Here is a 20,628-nt window from a genome sequence, read left to right on the forward strand (position 1 = left end):
GACATAATAGGATTGTGGAGATGGACATAAATAAGATGCTTTCAATTATGAGTAATGGAAAACCCATCTAACAAAGTATGGTGGCAAGAAGATGGGAATAGGAGGCCCAGGGTTTATTCAGAGGCTGTGTTCATCCTTCGTTTCCCTCTGCTATTCAAAGTGTGTTAGAATTCACCTTCAGGCTTCTGACCTCATGATTATAAGATGGCTGCCATTGTTTCAGAATAATTTCTTCATGGCATCTAAAACAAGAAGATGGGATGCCAGGAGCAAAAGAATCTTCCTGGTACCTTTTTCCTCCTTTTTATCAGAGAAGATGATTTTTCCTCAAAGCCTACAGAAGACTTGCCTTTATGTCTCATTGACCAGACTTGGGTCACATTACCACTCCGTTATCCCTGCCCTCAAACTGGCAAAGAGAATCAAGAAGACCTTGATTGGCGTAGATCACTCATGCTTGATTTCCTGAGGCTCGTCTCATTGCCTCTCTCAGAAACTTGGGGCTCTATTTTTATTAGCTAAGAAGGGCAATGGTTATTGTCTGCCACAGTGATGCTCTTGTGTGAAGTAAAGGTGCATAAAATGCATGTCTTCCCTGGACTTTAGTGCATCCTTGGTTTGTAAGTGACTACGATTACATGAATCAGAAATAAATCAGGAAAAGGAAAGTTGGTAATTTTGGCCTATTCCTGCAGAAATCATAGCAGGGAGGGGAGTGTTTGTGAACGAAGGGAGGGTCCAGTTCTCTAAAGCTGTGCTGGTGAACTACCACTGCATAGGGTGGCCCTCTGCTGACCCTAGAGCAAGCTGGAGGTGAGACGAGTTTGTCAGGACATCCCAGATTCTTTCTTCTGTACTCTTTCCTCTTCTCTGTTTTCCACCAATCCAATCAAAGGCAGTGCTGATGTAGTCAGCACAACTCCTGGGATGCAGGTGCCTGGGGCTGCAATTCTGTTCTGACACTGACTGTGGACATTCTGGTTCTGGGCAGCCACTTGAGGTAACAATAATGATACACAGTTCCTGCTTTTAAGAGGTTCATGATGAGGAGCTTCACTGCTCCCCTGTTGCTTTATGACAGGATGAGGATTCAGACTAAATGACCACTTCCCTCTTTTCTCACTCTCAAGTTTTATGATTTCTTTCAAGTTTATTTGGGATTTTTTTTTTTTGGTCTGTGCCTTTTGTTAATATATTCTACATGCATTTTGCTTCTAGGCATATTGATATTCACAAAGTTTACCACTGACAGTTGTAGTCTGAGAGTGTACAGAAAAAAACGTAGTTGACCACTCTATGATTATTCTGGACTCTGTGACTCTCTTAATGCAAGCCAAGACCACATTAGCCTTTTTGGCAGTCTTATTACTTTGTGGCTTTTGTTGGGTTTGCAGTCATCCAGAATTTCTAAGAACAATATTTGGAAGGTGGCTTTGCAGAGACTTGAGCCACTGAACTTCTCTTGTCATGTGCTTCCTTTACTTCACTCCTTTCTTTAATATATGCCTGGCATTGGGCCCAGAATCCATAATACGATATTCATAATAAATACCAACATCTTTTGAGCACTCCCTATGTGTCGGGTGTTACACTAAGTGCTTTACAGGTATTGTTTCATTTAATCCCCACAGCAACTTTCTTCCCCTTTTTCTGGAGACAGAGTCTCCCTCTGTCGCCCAGGCTGGAGTGCAGTGGCACAATCTTGGCTCACTACAATCTCCACCTCTTGGGTTCAAGTAATTCTCATGCCTCAGCCTTCTGAGTAGCTGGGATTACAGGTGTGTGCCACCATGTCCAGCTAATTTTTGTGTTTTTAGTAGAGACAGGGTTTCACCATGTTGGCCAGGCTGGTCTCAAACTCCTGGCCTCAAGTGATCCGCCTGCCTTGGCCTCCAAAGTGCTGGGATTACAGGCATGAGCCACCACACCCGGCCCCCACATCAGCTTTCTAATCTAGGTGTTAATAATTCCCATTTTACAGATGAGAAAACAATATGGAGCAAGCTAAGTCATTTGAGCAAAGTTATATAGTAGCAGGTGGTTGAGGCAGGACTAGAATCTAGGCAATCTAGTAGCACAGCCCAGGCTCTTAACCTTGAAATGCACCTTAAGGCATTTTATAAATTTGTCTTACTTTCCTTAATTTTTCCCCTCTCCCCTACCCCCCAGTACATGCATAATTGCTTTAAATATTATTACTTGTCCTGTCTTTCAAGCTGGCTTAATAGAACATACGACGTAGAGATCAAAAGTTACAGAGTACTAAAGCCGTAGAATAAGAGTTTCTTTATTCATTAATTCATCCTTTAATTCCTGATTGACTCAGTTCCTGAGGTATTACACTGAGCGTGTGGATAGAGAGAGGAAAAAGACCTAGCATTCTGCCTTTGAGGAGTTCACAAAGTCATATGGTAAATGGTGGGCCTGAGATTCTTGTCCCGCAGCAAATTCTGTCATTCTTTGTAGATCATGGGGAAAACTTTGCATTTTGCTCTAAGTGTGCTGAGTTCAGAGTGTAACATCTACTTTGCTCCGCCATAGCCTTTAAAACAGGATTCATCTCTGAGCCTCAGCACCAGTACATCTCTGGGAATCTACCTGGCCTTCTTCATTATGTCCTGCTTCCCTGACCTACATTTTTTTCCTTTTTCAGATTGATTTGTTGTTCAAAAGGCCGGTGCCCCTGGAATGAGGACCTACAAGCTTACTTTTATACTAGAAAATAAAAGACTAGAAGAATCAAGCCTTTGCTCAGATCATACTTTGTGAGGTGGGCAAGAGTAGAAAGCCGAACACTTGAACGTGAGAGCGAGGAGGGAGCCACAGATGAAGGTTGAGGACAGAGAAAGGGAAGCTGGAGGGCTCTAAACTTGCAGAGGCCTGACCTGGCACTTCATCTGTCGCCTCTGAAAACAGCTCTGCTCTTGCTCTTGCTCTATTCTCATCCAAGTACTAGGCGATCCTCCTTTTATCACTTCCCAGTTTCTTCCTTTAGTTTCCTCTAAGGTCATTCCTCCTTTGCACTGGATTTACTTTGGAGTAACAGTTGTTGGTGGGAGGTTCTGATTCTGCAGAGAGAGAAACTGAGGCATGGGATAGAGAACAGCCATCTGTACTTTGTCCTGTAAGTCATTAGAGACTGGCAGAGCCTTGTCATAGATCCCGTGGTTTGCTGTAAGCCACAGGTGGCCCTCATACCCTCATAGGAATAGGGACCTTCTTCCTTCCTTAACATGATTGGATTTTGTTTTTACCTGAAAATACGAGCTACTTCTAACAGAAGGAAAGACGATTGCAGCCTGTACTGCATTGCCCCTATCTGTAACCCCATTAAGAGGTTGTAAATAGTACTATAATGATATCTCAGTCATTTGTTTTGATGTATCCAGGCTTTTAATAAATCAGCCGCAGCTTGCTTAATAGGAATATGAGAGCAGAGCACGTTGCTGCCAGCAGCTGCTAGTAAATTATAAAGCATTCATCTGTTTTACAAGGGAATTAAATGTTTGTTCTCTTTAAAGGGTTTTGACTAAACAAGGGTGTGTGCGTGTGTGTTTGTGTGTGTGTGCACACACACAGTGGCTTCCTGCCCATGCCCTCCCAGGTACAGTAGCAACCTCAGGTTCCTGGGGAACACCTGTAACCAAAGCCATATGAATTAGAGTGCCCCCAGGTAAACCCTGTCATTATTGGTCTCTGCTCTGCGTGCATCTCTAAAGCAATATTTGTTGGATTACATTTGTCTTCCACGTCAAAGGATTCTGTGAAATACAAGTCCCATTTCCCGCTTTCTCCTTTTTTTCTTAAGACTGTCTAGGGAAGGAGCTTTAGATAAACTATACATCCAGCACAACATTCAATTGTCTGCACAATTGAGTTAGCCTACTTTATTTGACTTTTATGTTTACATTTGAAGTGGACTCCCCCCGCCCCCCGCCACCACCTTTTCGACACCCTTGGTTTTATTGACTAAATAATCTTCAGAAGACAAGACATCAGAGTTGGTGCTTTTGGTGGAAATTAAACCACAGCAGGTGTTTCAAGACCAGCTTTGGCAACACTGCAAGACCCTGATTCTACAAAAATAAAAAAAATTAGCCAGTTGTGGTGGCGTGCGCCTGTAGTCCCAGCTACTGGGGAAGCTGAGGCAAGAGCATCCCCTGAGTTCAGGAGTTTGAGGCTGCAGTGAGCTATGATCATATGACTGCACCCCAGCCTGGGTGAAAGAGCAAGATTGTCCAAAACAAAACAACAAGACGTGGGGTCCAGCTAACCAATATTCAAGAGCTGTTGGCTACTTATCTTGTGACCTTCAACAAGTTATATAGGTTTTTAAAATCTATTACTTTATTTTTTGTTACTTTTAAATTTGGAAATAATTGCAGATTTATAGGAGGTTGCCAAAATAATATAGAGAGATCCAGGGTGACCTTCACCTAGTACAATATATGTGTATAGCTCTATGTCGTTCTTTGACATGTGTACATTATGTAACCATCACTGCAGTAAAAGCACAGAACTGTTTCATCATCACGAAGATCTCCCTATTGCTTCCTTTTTATAACAACTTCTACCACCTTCCCTATCCTCCCCTCCACTGTCTTACCTCCTGGCAAGTACTAATCTGCCTTCCATCTTTATAAATTTTATTCATTTAAAAATTATATAAATGTTATTACACATTTGTATTTATATAAAATATAAAATATATCACATAAATATGAAAATATGAAATATATACATTAAATCATACAGTACATGGCTTTTTGAGGTTGACTTTTTAAACTCACTGTAATGCTATCCATCAACCTTGTTGCTTGCTTTTATGAATGTTTATTCTTTATTACTACCTAGTAGTATTCCATGGTGTGGACACATCAGAGTTTGTTTAATCATTCGCTTATTGAGGAACATTTTGATTCTTTTTACTTTTGGGCTATTATAAATAAAGCTGCTAGGAACAATTATTTACAGGTGTTTTGTGTGGAAGTAAATTTTCATTTCTGTGGGATAAACACTCAGGATTGTAATTGCTGAGTTTTATAGTGTTTGGTTTTTAAGAAATGTCAGACTTGGCTGGGCGCGGTGGCTCACACCTGTAATCCCAGCACTTTGGGAGGCCGAGGCGGGTGGATCACCTGAGGTCAGGAGATTGAGACCAGCCTGGCCAACATGGTGAAACCCCATCTCTACTAAAAATACAAAAATAAATTAGCCGGGCGTAGTGGCATGCGCCTGTAGTCCCAGCTACTCGGGAGGCTGAGGAAGGAGAATAGCTTGAACCCAGGAGGCAGAGGTTGCAGTGAGCTGAGATTGCACCAGTGTACTCCAGTGCAACAGGGTGACACTCTGTCTCAAAAAAACAAAAACAAAAACAAAAACAAAAAAACCCGGAGGTTGCAGTGAGCCCGGATCATGCTACTGCACTCCAGCCTGGGCAACAGAGCGAAACTCTGTCTCAAAAAAAAAAAAAAAAAAAAAAAAAAAAAAAAAAAAAGTCAGACTTTTCCAGAGTGACTGTACCATTGTACATTCCCAGCAGCAGTGTATGAGGGAATCAGCATCCTTGCCAGGATTTGGAATTGTTGCTGTTTTTTAATATGGCTGTTCTGATAGGTGTGTAATGATATCTCATTGTGATTAATTTGGATTTCCCTAATGGTTAGTGATGGCAGACATTTTTATGTGCTTATTTGCCATTTGTATGTCCTCTTTGATGAAATGTCTGTTCATGTCTTTTGCCCATTCTTTTGGATTATTTGACTTTTACTGTTAAGTTTTGAAATGTTCTTTATGTATTCTAGATATCAGTATCTTGTCTGATGTATGGTTTGCAAATATTTTCTCAGTCTGGAGCTTGGCTTTTCATTATTATAACAGGATGCTTTGCAGAGCAAAGGTTTTTAATTTTGGTGAGGTCAAATTTATCAGCATTTTATTTTATGGAGTATGCTTTTGATGTCATGTCTAAGAAACTCTTCACCAAACCCATAGGTCCTGAAGATTGGCTCCTATGTCTTCATCAGAAGCTTAAGCTTTACATTTTACATTTAAATGTATGACCCATTTTAAATTAAGTTTTGTGTAAGTATGAGGTTTAGGTTGAGGCTTATTTATTTTTTGCCTATGAATAATCTAATTGCTTCAACACTGTTTAAAAGGCATTTCTTCTAACATTGAATTGCTTTTGGATCGTTGTCAAATATCAGTTGGCCATAGTTTTGTGGGACTGTTTCTAGGTTCTCTATTCTGTCCGTTGATCTGCGTGTCTGTCCCTTCGCCAGTCCCTTACTGTATTGATTACAGTATAACTATTTAGTAAGTTTTGAAATCATATAGAGTGATTCCTCTTACTGTATTCTTTTTTGTTAATAGTTTCAGGTATTCTAGTTTCTTTCCATGTAAATTTTTAGAACAATCTTGAACGTATTTACAAAAATTTTGCAGGGATTTTGATAGGAATTATGATGAATACTTTTATTTTTATGTTTTGTAGAGACAGTGTCTCGCCATGTTGCTCAGGCTGGTCTTAAACACCTGGACACAAGCAATCCCCCCACCTTCGCCTCCCAAAGTGCCAGGATTACAGGCGTAAGCCACTGCGCCTGGCCCATATGTGAAATCTGCATATCAATTTTGGGAGATTTGATATCTTTGCTATACTGAACTTTCCCATCCATGAACACTATATGCCTTTCCTTTTATTTAGATCATCTTTGATTTCTTTCCATCAGCAATTTGTAGTTTTTAGCATACAGGTCCTATACATCTTTTGTTAGATTTGCATCTAAATATTTCATTTTTCTGAGACATTATACATAACATTGTAATTTTGATTTTGCTTTTCCTGTGTTCATTGTTAGTATATTGAAATACAATTTGTTTTTGCATGTTGGTCTTCAACTTTGCAGAGTTGACTTCTAGGAGTTTTTATTTAGATTTTTTGGGATTTTTGTAAGCATATCATCTATACGAGCATGTCATCTATAAACAGGGACAGTTTTATTATTTACTTTCTGATATACCTTTTCCTTTTATTGCCTTATTATGCTGGTTGGAGCTTCAGTACTATGCTGAATAGTGGTAGTGAGAGTGGACATGCTTGTCTTGTTCCAAATCTGAAGTGAACAAGCATTAGGTCTTTCCCTACTAAATTTGATGTTAGTTGTAGGTTTTTGGGTAGTTGTTCTTTGAAGCTGAGGAAATTCCTTTCTATTCTTGGTTTTTATAAATATGTATTGAATGCTTTTTTGCATCAACTATGATGGATTATGTTGATTGGTTTTTGAATATTGAACCAGCTTTGCATCCCTGGAATAAATCCCATTTGGTCAGGATGTATAATTCTTTTTATATATTGCTAAATTTTGTTTACTAATATTTTGTTAAGGACTTTTGTGTTTATAAGAGGTAGTATGTGATTTTTTTTTTCTTTGCTGGTATTTTTAGGGTAATAGTAGCTTCATAAAAATTGGAAAGTGTCTGCTTTCCCTGTTTTCTTTTCTTTTTTTTCGAGACAGAATCTCACTCTGGAGTGAGATTCAGATTCAGATTCCTAGGCTGGAGTGCAGCGGCTCAATCTCTGCTCACTGCAACCTCCGCCTCCTGGGCTCAAGCGATTCTCCTGCCTCAGCCTCCTGAGTAGCTGGGATTACAGGTGCCTGCCACCATGCCCGGCTAATTTTTGTATTTTTAGTAGAGACAGGGTTTCACCATGTTGGCCAGGCTGGTCTTGAACTCCTGACCTCAGATGATCCATCCATCTCAGCCTCCCAAAGTGCTGGGATTATAGGTGTGAGCCACCGTGCCCGGCCCCTGCTTTTCTAATGTTATCATTTATTGCTAAAAGTTTACCGTTAGTACTGCTTGTGTCCCCTAAACTTGGTATGTTGTAATTTCATTTTCATTCAGTTCAGGTCATTGTTTAAGTTATTTTGAGGCTTCCTGTTTGACCCATAGATTATTTGCCAGTGTGTTTTTTAGTTCCCAAGTTTTTTTAGATTTTCCTGTTATCTTTCTGTTATTTATGTCTGCTTTTCTTTCATTGTGGTCAGAGAATACACTGTATATGATTTCAGTTCTTTTAAATTTGCTAAGGTTTGTATTATATCCCAGGATATGGTCTATGTTATTTGTTCTGAGGTCATTTAAAAAAAAATGTGGCTTATGCTTTGTTAAGTGTAGTGTGCTATAAATGTCAGTTAGATCCTAGCCTGTTGATGGCATTGTTGAAATCTTTTACATTTGCTGATTTTCTGTCTAGTTGCTCTATCAATTAATTGTTGATAAAGGGGCATTTTAGTCTCCAACTACCTTTTGTCTATTTCTCTTTTCAGTTCTGTCAGTGTTTGCTTCACACTTTACAACTCCATTTTTTTGCCACAAATACATTTGGGATTACTATATTTGCTTGATTGATTGACTTACATATCATTTTTAATGTCCCTCTCTGTTTCTACTAATTTTCTATGTTCTGAAGTCTACTTATTTTATTCATGTAGGTACTCCTGTTTTCTTTTGACTGTTTTCATTGTATATATTTTTCATATTTTTACTTTTTACATATATTTATCATTATACTTGAAGTGAGTTTATGGATAGCATATAGTTCATGCTTTTTTATTCATTCAACCAATCTGTATTTTAATTGGTATATTTAGTCACTGTACCTTTAATGAAATTATTGGTGTGTTAGAAGACCCAGGCAGCTCATCACTTTGAAGTTCCTTGCATCCTAAGGTCCCTAGCAGTTCTGCCTGTTCTCTCTACCTTCAAGAATCTTTTAATGTTCATGTTATATATATAACACCCAGGAATTGTTTTACTGTACTTAGCAGAAATGATAGGAAAAGTACATCTGTTCCATCTTTCTGGAACTGCTTCTTTACTTTTAAAATTAAAAAAAATTATTGATACACCTATACCACAATATTGCTGTAAGTGAGATGAAAGTGAAAAAGGATTCAACATTTAAATTCTATTTGGACATCAGTTATTATATCTAAGTGATATATGAAATCATGTTGCTCTAGAACAATATTAACAGATTTTATGAGGTTCCCTTATAGGAATGAAAATTTATACGTGTACTCTTTCTTTCTCTTTGACACCACTCTACCCTTTTCTCCTTCTCTAACATATTCCATTAAGAAATTTTACTCAAACTTATGCTTTGCAGTTGGAATACCCTAATACCGATTATAAGTCCTGAATCATTTATTAAGTACCTTGTAATTGCCCAGCACTGTGCTACCAATGCCTTTCAGTGACTTTCTAAATTCACCCTGTTAGGTATAATTATCTTACTGTGTAGCTGAGGAAACAGAGGCTTAGAGAAGTCAAGTGATTTGCTAAGGTCACTTAGCTAGGGAGTGTTAAAACTGGGACTTGAATACAGGTCTTAGAGTTTAAAGTTCATGCTCTTAACCTTTATGTTTTACTTCCTCCCTGTATTCTCTTGTACTTCATCAACCTGAATTCTTTAGAGCTTTTTGATCTGTTGGGACCTAGTTTGAATTCTTAAGCATTTTATTATTTTTATTTGCTTCAATGAAAGGTAAAAGATATAACCTAGATTTTATCCATTGCTAGTTTCTTTTAGTGCCATAGTGGTTTTATCTGTCAGCGTGTCTGTGTGTTTCTTAATGTTCCTAGCAAAATTTAAGATGTGATCTAGTAACTGTATTCTTCCAATTGATTCATCTTTAGTGTCACTTTAATTTTATTTTTGAAAAATTAACGTTATCTTCTCATTTCTCTGTTGGAGTGTGATTGAGTGATTAATTCAGCAATTATTTATAGAGCCTACTGTGTGATAATTATTGTGCGAGATGCTGGGGATATTCAGTAATTATGTGTTTCTTTGTTCTTGTAATTGTTCTGTGACTTTAGTTACATCTTTCTTCAGAATCTTTCAATTCACAAGTCATCTGTAAGATTTCACTCATTTTCTATTTCTAGAGTGTAGTCCAGAAACCATATGTGTTTGTGGGAGTTTGGTTTAATTTTGGGGAAGATATTGATACTTCTAAAGTTAGGTACACCATGGTCTACTGTTTACTTTTCAATGCAAATAGAGACTTTATTGATGAATGCTTTCCTTCTCAAGTACATGTTTTGAGATTGGTGAAAATCTACAGAAAACAAATAATTTTACCCCTTACGCTGAATGCTGGGAAAAGAAAGGGTCTTGTCTATAAATTAAGAGCATTACCTATGAGCTTCACAATGTACGTGATGGACCTAGTCTGTGTAAAATGAAGATTCTAGAAGCAGAAGAAAATGGCTTCAAAAGCAAATCAGAGGTTATAGTTCATGGACAAGCTAAGTACTAAACCAATCTTATTGTTGTGAAATTAACATTTTCTGTTTTATCTCTGTGGTATCACGGAATTTTATTATTGGACAGGCTAATAGAGATCTGTTTGAGCAGCCTATTCATTTTATAGACAAGAAACCTGACACCTGTAGAGGTAAAATGACTTTTAAGGCCTTTTGTGATTTAGCCTCCAAACTTGAAGACCTGGGCCCTTGTTACTGTATCCTCTGGACTGCATTTTAGTAATATTTTATCATTTCATTATAGTCTCATACTTACCCAATATTCTTCCTTTACAGGGTTTCAGTTTTCTCAACTCAAGAGAGTAGATAAGGCACTTAATGTAGTTCATTTCTAGTTGGAGTCTGTAAAGGTTTATGAATTGCTTTGTTAATCCACGTCACTTTGTATCTTAGCTTTCTAGACTTTAAATGTTGGTTGTAGTCCGTATAACTGCCAGACTTAACTTATAATGAATGCCTTCAGGTAGGTAGATATTTGTTTGTGTGTGTTCCGTAAAGAACAAACAAGGGGCTAAGAATTATCAACTCTTGCTGTGAGGGCCCCTTAGCCAGGCTTCCACCCTCTGCCTCTTCAGTCTTAGGGACTTGTCAACCAACTTCTGCTTCAGGGCCTCAGGGATGGTGGGTGGTGGGGACCTTAGGTTGGCTAATTTTACCATGGCATGACTTCCATTTTTAAGAGTTATTTTCTTGGATTGAGACACAGTTAGCTTGCCTGTGGCTTCCCCGCAGTGATTCTTCTGAGTGGATGGAATAAATCAAGTTTCTCTGTGTTTCCTGACTAAATATTGCAGGTTGTTTGTGCCATTCCTCACTTTTTGGATTTTAGATAATTCACTATTCTACATGCTTCATTTTTTTTATGTTTCCTCAGGTGAGCCCCAACTTTTAACTGAGTACTTTAGAAATAGGCTGAGTCCCAAGGGGTCAGTGGAACTTTCTTGTTCCACCTAGCATAGGCCTGAAACAGAGGCTCAGTCTTGGGACTCCTTCCTTCAGCCTGGAAGGAAGAAGTGAGGGAGAAAGGAAGAAAGTGATCACCAAGGCAGGCCTGGTGCCTAGAAGCTGAGCTTTGAGAAGCATACTTTAGTAACGCATTTTCTGTGTCCTCTCCTCAGTTAACTCGTCTCTTGAATCTTTATTATTAAAAATTAACACCTGAACTGGTAATCTCAGTTCCTGCGGTCCCTCTCTGTATTTCAACTTTACATCAGCCACTTTTTTTAGTATTATAAACAGGAGATCTTTTAGACCCCTAGGCTTCCAGTTTTGATTGGCCGTCACCTTCTAGCTCCCTCATCTCATTACAGACTAAGCTGGATGCATTAACTAGTTGCATAGTCTTGGACAAGTCACTTAAGTATTCTCAGCCTTAGTTTCCTCAGTTGTGCAGTGGGTCTCCTCACACCTACTCACTTAAGAAATAAATGAAATAATGTGTGTGAGAGAGTTTTCTGAACAAGAAAATATTAGCTAAATATCATCTTTCCTTGTTGTACCCTTGTTTCTACAGGACACAGTTGGATCAGCGGATTCAGTGCTTTTCCTGGGATCTCTTACAGGTTCCCTCCATGCTTGTTGCCCTTGACTGATGGTATATTGGAACATTTGTACACAGTGGCCTTGAACTATAGTGGGCACTTGAAATGGCAACATTTTGTATTCTTCTAGGAACTACTGTTTTTCTTTGAAAAGCCAGGAATTTCACGGCTCCAGAGGAGGGGATGCAGAAGCTATTTCTTTTTATTTTCCCCTGTTAAATCAGTATAATGAGATTCTATGTGCATAGTAATCCTTAAGCTCTTTGCCTAGTTCCTTTTGCCCTAGGCACCTTGGAGTGATGGAATTGTAGTCAGTCAGACATGTGCAGTGTATTCACACATACACTTAGAGGGCTCCTCGTCTGCTCCCCCTAGCTAAGCAGCCCCTTTGAAATGTCTAATAAAATCCCTGCTCTTGTGCGCTGCATTGAAACAAAGCAGGCTCACGCAGTCCTGGAAATGAGCCCTGAGAGGTATTATTTCTATATGTCGGTCTTTATTTGCCTGTTTTGACAGTGTCGTACAATGAGGGTCCTGCTGCTGATGCAGCAGAATCACAAGGAGCCGTCTTTGCTGTGTAAATTCTCCCTCAAAGGTCTGGCATTCGACCTGCCTGCTAAACCCTCTTTGAAACAATGCAATGACAAAATATTTTCTTCTTACTGATAATAGGCAGATTATAATTGCTATAATTGCTTCTACCTCATTCTCTGAAGGGAGGAAAGTAGGGCTATGGAATGAGTGCTTAAAATTTTTATTTATCGTCTTAGAGATATAGATGGTTCATTTATTATACAGAAGTTTACATAGCAGCCTCTAAGTGTACGTTGTTTCTCAATAGTTGGAATTAAATTCGTACTTTTGGACTACTGTTTATTAAGACATTCCCGGGAGGCTGAGGCAGGAGAATGGTGTGAACCTGGGAGGCGGAGGTTGCAGTGAGCTGGGTTTGTGCCACTGCACTCCAGACTGGGTGACAGAGTGAGACTCCGTCTCAAAAAAAAAAAAAAGACATTCCTCCTTGGTGATGAATAACACCTGTGTGCCAAAAGGATTTTTCTCATTGGCTCTGATTAAGGGGATATCCAGCCAATAACCGTAGCAAGCCTTAGGGTGAATTTTTGGCAATCTCCAGGTCTAGTCATTGCCTTATGGGCAGTCTGATGGCACCTTGGGCATTGTCTTATTGCCCTGAGCACAGGTGTTAGGGGCATGGAGTCTGATGAGCCGTGCTCTGCTGTCTACCCCCAGTCTGTTCTCCAGACCCCCTAACCAAACTTCTCATAGAGGTGACCATCACAAGGACCTGGTGTGTGGCTAGATCAGTGACAATTTATGACCACTTCTGGGGAAATAGCTCAGAGTGCACGTCCTTCGTGTGGTAGGTCCAAAATATTATCTTTGTATGTTCAAAGTAGCATAAGCTTTAGTTGCTGCTGTTGGTTTCAGGAGAATCACCTGGATGTCAGTGCCTTGGGGTTATTAATAATGGTAAAAAACCAGTATGAGGGTGGAGCTTAGAAGTAGACCAAGACTTGTGAGTCATGCACTGCTTTTTAATTTGCAAGCTAAATAGGTGCTAAAACTCACCTACCCTGGCTGCTGAGATAGTCACTTTCTCCTGGTCCTCCTCTATTGTAAAGAGAAGAGGTTGGACTTAATGCCCTTCAAGGTCTTTTCTCTCTGACTTTCTGTGAAACTCCAAGGTGAGTCCTAAATTTTGTTTTGGTCTATAAATTTAAATGCTTCCCCTGCTGAGCTGCTTTGGGCTGAGAATAGAATGGATGGAATTTACACCTTCTCTCTCTCTCTGTCCCATGTGATGCTTTGATTGGCTGCTAACAGAAGGGAAGGTGGTCAGAAGGCAAGGAAGCCTTGGCAAAGAGGAAGAGGAGTGAAAGTACTAAAGAATAGGAACAACTGGGGGTCAGCCCTGGAATAAAAAAGACTTCACAGGGCAGTTACTAGGCTTGCCTCACTCTTTGGAATCATGAGAGGTTTGCTAGGTATGTACTGTAAGGCCCGTGTGGCCAGAGACTGAGTCTTGGATTTACTCTTTTTGCCCTGACATTGCCTTGTGTAGCACTGGATATCATGTAGGTACTAATTATTTCTTCTTTACTTAACTTCCTGGAAACCGCTGCAATTGTCAAGTGAATAGAAGTGAATAGGACTGTTATATTAAACATTATAGAGAAGGGTCCATGCTCACAGCATCTTCATCATTCCAAATATTGTGCTTGTTGAAGCAGAGAACCTTGTCAGGACAGTCATTGTACCAACATTTACGAAATGAAAGCAAGAGCTATTAACCACTGTATAAGATTTGAGGATATTGTGCTTTCAAAGGAAGCAAAGAGGGTTTAAAATTACTCCAGTGGGATATCTCTTTAGCCTCACTTAAGGATTGTTTAAAAGGAAATAGAAATAAAGATTGTTTCAAAAGAAAAAGAAATAAAGTTAGAGGTGAATAGATGGTATATGTAAGAGCTTTATGTTTTGGTCATACTAAGTTTATTGTTAAGTTACAACAAAAAAATTGTTAACTATCATGTCTCCAGTTTTGCAGGATAATTTTCTTTTAATGTATTCCAAAAACTGACCTCAGAATTTGATGAAGTGTTAGACAAGATGACAAACAGAGAGACTGTTAGTAACGGGCAGAAGTCATTAGTCTCAGACTCATATTCATTTGTTTGTGGTTATTGATTCTAGTCACTCCTATTCTTATCTCCATCCAAAAATAGGCATTAAACCCTAATCTCTTGTGGATGTTTGCTTTGTAGATTTAGGAGAATAAGAACATGTGACCATACCTGGTTAGCCATCTCAAGATTTGTTATGAGCTAGTTGACTTCAAGAGCCAGTGAGCTGGGTTGTGCAGGATACTTGTTACTGGATAATTCTACTTCAGATAGATGCTCTAGTTGCTCTGCTAAAATCCTCTGTTCTGTCAAGCCTGTCAGAGCCAGAGTGAAAAAACAAAACAAACAAAAACAACAACAACAAAACCCTAGTAGAGTACCTGAACTCTAAATTACAGAGTTTAAGGACTGAAAATGACCTTGAGGATCCAGAGTAGGACTCTCAAACTCACATGTTCCTGGGGTAGACAGGTAGCAGAGTGAATGAATTGGACAACTATAAGCAATGGGGGAGACTGAAGAGACATTCAAATTTAGAAAATTTTAAGGACATTATACCTGCCTGACAAAGAGGTGTTTTTTTTTGTTGTTGTTGTTTTTTGTTTTATTTTCTGTCTCTGATGCTTGAATCAGGAGGACAAAGAGCTCTGATGCTGATTCAGCTGCAATTTTGAGGACCCTTGACCCTAACTATCAGGTTATCTATTTCTGGTTTAAGGATGATGACCTGAGTTACAGGTAGGAAAAGGCATTTAACCAAGGAGAGACAGCTAGTGAGGGCTGGAGCCTGGGGCTCTGAGGTGTAGTCTGAGGTTCTTTCTCTACACCATGGTGATATCTGAAGGGGAAGGCAGGAACACCTGGATTTCAATCAGGGATTTAAAAAAAACTTTCTATTTTTTTAGAGAGGTATAATTAACATACAATCAAATGTACTCATCTTAAGGGATAACTTGATATATTCTTATGTGTGTGTCCTTTCATGTCACCACCACCCAGATCATCCCAAGATTCTCCTTGTGCTCTTTTCCAACATCCCCCACACCCCTGCACCGGAATCACAATTTACCAGGGAACCATGGCACTTTTCCTTCCACTTGCAGAGCTGGTCCGTCTGTCACTGGCCCAGTTCCTCCCCTCACCTCCCTCTCCTCAGATTCAATTGTAAAGAGCTATAGCAAACACAAGGGCACATGTTGCTTAATTTTTTTTTCCCACATAACCCAACAGAATCTTGGGTTTCTTTAAAGTAAGCTCTCTAATTATGCCAATGCCATTGACTCACCAAGTAGGATGCCAGGTCCCACAGGGTGTGTCCTTCACAGGGTTCTGAGGGTACTGCTTCTTGCAATGTCAACTGCTTTATACAAAAGCATATTTAAGGTCACATGATATTTGCCAAGTTATTAATTATTCGGAGGCTACTTTTCCTCTGAAAGAACTTCAGATGTCCGATGTCATGATTTTATTAAATCAAAGACCCATATTTCATTGTAATGGACATGGCACTCAAAACCTGGGAATCGACTCATTGAAAATGTAGCCAACACAACACTGAAAACAAAGCCCACCTCACAGGCAATGCAGCTTCCTTAAAAAAAATAGCTGATTCCCAGGCTGAAGCTGTTAAGCAGATTTTTATGCAGGGCTTCAAGTTACTAAAAAAGCAGGATTCAATATGCCTTTCTCTTTGATTTGTAGGAGGGGGTGGGAAGTAATGCTGCTGCTCTCCCCTTACCCCCTTCAGAAGGGCTTTTACCATATTCTGAAAGCAATGCTTGAAGGACCCATAAATGGATTTTGGCTGTCTCCTAGTGCAGGGATTAACATAGAATTATAGAAGTGTGCTGCATGGTGGTTGGGAAAATAGGGAGGATGCCATTCTCTTTTTGGAGGGACATGGTGCTCCCGTCTCTTGCCTGTGGATGTTCCCTATAAAGCAGCCTGTCACTGTGAAAAATGCACACACTGTACCATCTCACAGTTATAAAGGTTAAGTAAGCATCTTGAGCAGTGCCCCACTGCTTTTGTACTTTCCATAATGTCAGCCGATAAAGGATTATTGAAAAAGGCTTGCAAGGAGATAAAAGGCTTGCAGGTTGAGGTTAAACAATTGAAATTTTCTGTTCCCAGTGTAGTAAATTACCAATGGCAGATTTAACGTTTGTTAATTATTAGAGCAAAGTACTAAGGATTGTTTTCTTTTGCCTAATTAATTACCTCATCTGGAGTGGAATGTTAATTCAGATAAATGATTATTTCTTAATACCTCTGAAGCTTTCCTTGGAATCTCCTAGAATTGCCAGTCCTGAAGTGTGGTTTCCTCACATTCTGGGGAAGATAGGGGATAGGTGACCAACGTGACTACTCTCTTGGCCTTTTTCCCGTCTCAGAAGATGGCAGGATAACTTGTTTAGACTTTTGGTGATGGAGTTGGTTTGCTGTTCTAGTTAGTAGAACATGAGTGTGCTTCCTGGAATCCTGTGCCTCATAACCAAGTTTTTGAGTTAGTCTCTCGTGTGGTTTTGAATTTAACATTGAACATTCTTTTTACCTTTGGTAATTCTCAATTTGGGGCACCTGCCGTGAACATTAAAGATGGTATCCTTTGGAAAGGACACTCTAGTTTCTTAACTTGCTTTTTACCTTTAAGTTATTTTACCTCCTGATGTCTGTTCAGAATGCTAGAGGCAGGTTTTTATTCTTTCTTGGATCTAAACTATATCACCTCTAATAGTTGTGAATAGATAATATTCAAAAAAGGTAAAATCATGACTCATGCAGATATAAAATATCCACATGTCAAAAATTTTACTTATTTTAAATGAGGGAACCAGATAGATGTTACAACAGGTACCAAGGAGAAATGAAAGAACCACAAATTTATATGGAATAAAGGAAATGAAAACGAACCCACAAATGAACACAAAACTTTTGGGGGAGGGTTGTTCCTCTAGGGGACAGAATGTATTTGCATAGCTATAGACACTTTTCAGAGTTGTAAAATCGCCCAGTCAGACACAAAGGTAAGTGTCCCTGTAGGATGAGACCATTTTCTGAAAGGAGGGCCATTAATCTCTTTTGCTTTTTTTTAGGGTCAGAAACTTCCCCTTAGACAGTTGTGTATGAGGTTTTAATCCAGTTACTTAGGATGACATTGTATCTTCAAAGTAGATTAGAGATGAATTATGTGACTTATTTTTCTTTTTAGAAGGAAGCTTAAAGGTGACTTGGGGAGATGGGCTGGTAGATCTGGGCCATTGGAGGCGAGCTACAACCCATGTGACCAGTTACCCTGCACAGTCTCTACTCCTGATAAGGCACTTATTTTATGAGCACTTTTCATAATGATATGAAAAGGCAGCGGGATTCTGTCTAAGATTATCTGGAGTGAAAGCTGGAGGCTGATATTAAATGGATAGTCCTGTTTTCTTTTGGTGCTGCCAAGCTGAGCTGTTTAAAATGATGCTTGGAAAAATGCCTCCTGAGCCAGGAAGTTGTCTGATTAGTGAAGAGATTTCCGAGACGTTTGGCTCAGAGACTACCCCATCATACCACACATGTTCTTTTCCACATTCACCTGAGTCTTCCAAAGATACGAGGACTCGGGGTGGTGATAGGGTGTACATTCTTACATACACATATGTGTATATTTGTATATACAGTCTGTCTATCCATGGGTTCTGTATTAGTTGATTCAGCTAACCATGCATGGAAAGTATTTGAAGAAGAAAAAAAGGATGTTTGATTCTGTACTGAACATGTACAGACTTTTGTCCTTCTCATTATTCCCTAAACAATATAGTATAACAACCATTTACATACCATTTAAATTATATTAGGTATTATGTAAGTAATGTACAGATGATTTAAAACATATGGGAGGATGTGAGTAGGTTATATGCAAATTTTACAAAGGGACTTGAGCATTCGTGGATTTTAGGATCTTGGGGGATGCTGGAACCAATCCCCCACAGATACAGCGGGACAACTGTATTCATATAAATATATAGGCCAGAGATTGGCTTTAGGGGAGTCTGCAAAGTTCCATAATTATATGCATTTTTCTTAGGCAGTATTGTGTCTGTCAGATTCTCATAGTCTCCAAAAGTTTTATGATTCTTCAAAAGTTTAAGAACTGCTTACAGAAACCATGCCCCCAGTAATTATTCTGAATCTATGTGTTACCACGTGTATGACTTAGAAGAAGTCTAGATGAAGGTTCCACCTAATTACAGAATCCACTGCTGTAGCCACAGCTGGATTGAGTTATGTGGCAGCCCTGCCCCAGAGCTGGGGAGGCTGCGTGTGTGCCCCTCCACACCTGAGTACATCCTGGGTGTGCTGAAATGAAGCCCAGGGAGATACAAAGCACCATAATGCCATTAAGGCCAGCACCCGTTGGGTAGGGGAGAGGCTGACCATACAGACTTCTGACTTCTGCGTTTCATTCCCTGCTCTGAAACCTGTCCGTCTCTCAGGCTTGCAATCTGCCTTCCTGTCTCTCTGACAGACCTGTGACTTGGGCTATGGTTCTGATACCAGGAAATAATGCAGGGGTGGGAGTCTTAGTCCCAAGCAAAATAAATCACTGCTCCCATTAGACATTACAATGTTTAAACCCAAGTACATCTGTCTGCCTTCAAAACCAAGATTTAGAGCATGTCAAGCAGGTGCCATGCCTCCAATAACACATACTTTGTTCCAACATTTAGTAGATTACTGTGAGATTTTAAATTCAAATTCTCAGACATTCACTTTGTTTAGGAAATAACTGCAATAAAGCAAATTGTCTCCTGTTCTTTTTTTCCCCCTACGGTGCAGCCAAGTGAGAGCAAATCAATTCCTAGTCAATTTTTTGTTGCTGTTTTCCTCCATGCTAGAGAAGAGATGATGCAGCTCTCTCCTGTTGCAGCCCTGTGCTGGGTGTGGTTCCCTCTCCTTAATTTGTCATCTGAAAGCAATTTTGTTCAATTAGAGATTAGAATTAAATTTCAGTTGTAGGGCTTCTGTGCAGAGGAAATGATGCATTAATGAACACACAGATGTCATCTTGCAGCCATGATGCTTGCAGAACAGTTTCTTCAGGATTCAAATAATAAAAGGGGCCACAGCAGCAGGAGCATTGTTTACTGGTTGGCATACTAAGTGGAGGCTCACATTTATTTGCAAACCATTTATCATTCTGTATACTGAGAGGGAGAACATACTTTATTTAAAATATTTGAAATAATGACTCTTAAAATCGGATAACAGAAGCATTAATGCCAGGTGCCATGCAGTAAATTGCATAATGCTGTTGGGTTGGCACTGACACTGTGATTTGTGTTGCTAATGATCTATCCAAATAGATGGGAGTTGAGAATAAAAAGAGAATATTCCTGGAAAGAGACAAGGCAACTAGTGAATTAAAAGTGTAGTGAGAAAGGGAAAAAATGTGTAGGATCGTATTTTACTTATTGGAAGACCCATCTGCTCTTCTGTACACACATTATGTAAGTTTCACTCTCTGTATTACAAATAACCTGCAGGGTGGATAGGAAGTTCATATATCTGCCTTCAGCTGTTTTTTTCACTCACAGACGTGAATGAACAGAAAGATTTATGTCTTGTGTGTTGGATATTATAGGATGGTAGGTTTTTTTTTTTTTTTTAAGGGCGTTGTGTATTTAGACTGTGATATTCTGTGCACTGCTTTGCTTGAAGTGAGTGATGGCTGCGACTAAGAAGGCAGCAAGTGGGGAGTGGGAGTTTGGGGAGGTGGAAAAGGGTTTCTGTGAGACAATATTGGTTTGTCTGGTCTTTGGGCCTGGGCTACACACATGCCCTTTGACACTTATGGTTAAAGTGTTTATTTCCGAATGGTGCCCAGAGCTATGTTCAGTGTGTCCTGAGTCACTGTTGAATTTTTAAAATTTGGTAGTCTCTGTGCTGTCCAGAATTTCTTAGATGTGTTTTGAATACAGAGGGCTCTCAGTATCAGGTGGCATCCACGCTGGTCATTGATGTTGACAGGGATGAAATCTCACTTAAAACCCTCTAATTTCCTAGTTCAAGGACTCTTCCTTATTCCTCTTCCCCTGTTGCAAAAGGACCCTCTG

At 39.5% G+C, this 20,628-nt stretch overlaps 1 protein-coding gene across 21 annotated transcripts in view, besides 1 other annotated feature; it reads left to right on the forward strand.

Annotated features, from left to right (window-relative positions):
- Nucleotides 1-20,628, forward strand: part of AUTS2 (activator of transcription and developmental regulator AUTS2) — a 1,195,032-nt gene that overhangs the window by 246,464 nt on the left and 927,940 nt on the right. The window lies entirely within an intron of this gene.
- Nucleotides 15,944-17,760: an enhancer, noted in NCBI's record as "VISTA enhancer hs2315". NCBI's record gives its function as "enhancer in: hindbrain (rhombencephalon)[4/13] | midbrain (mesencephalon)[12/13] | forebrain[5/13] | eye[11/13]" and the evidence as "EXISTENCE:transgenic organism evidence [ECO:0001131][PMID:17130149]".

Source organism: Homo sapiens, chromosome 7, assembly GCF_000001405.40.
Source record: "Homo sapiens chromosome 7, GRCh38.p14 Primary Assembly".
Taxonomy (NCBI): Eukaryota; Metazoa; Chordata; class Mammalia; order Primates; family Hominidae; genus Homo; species Homo sapiens.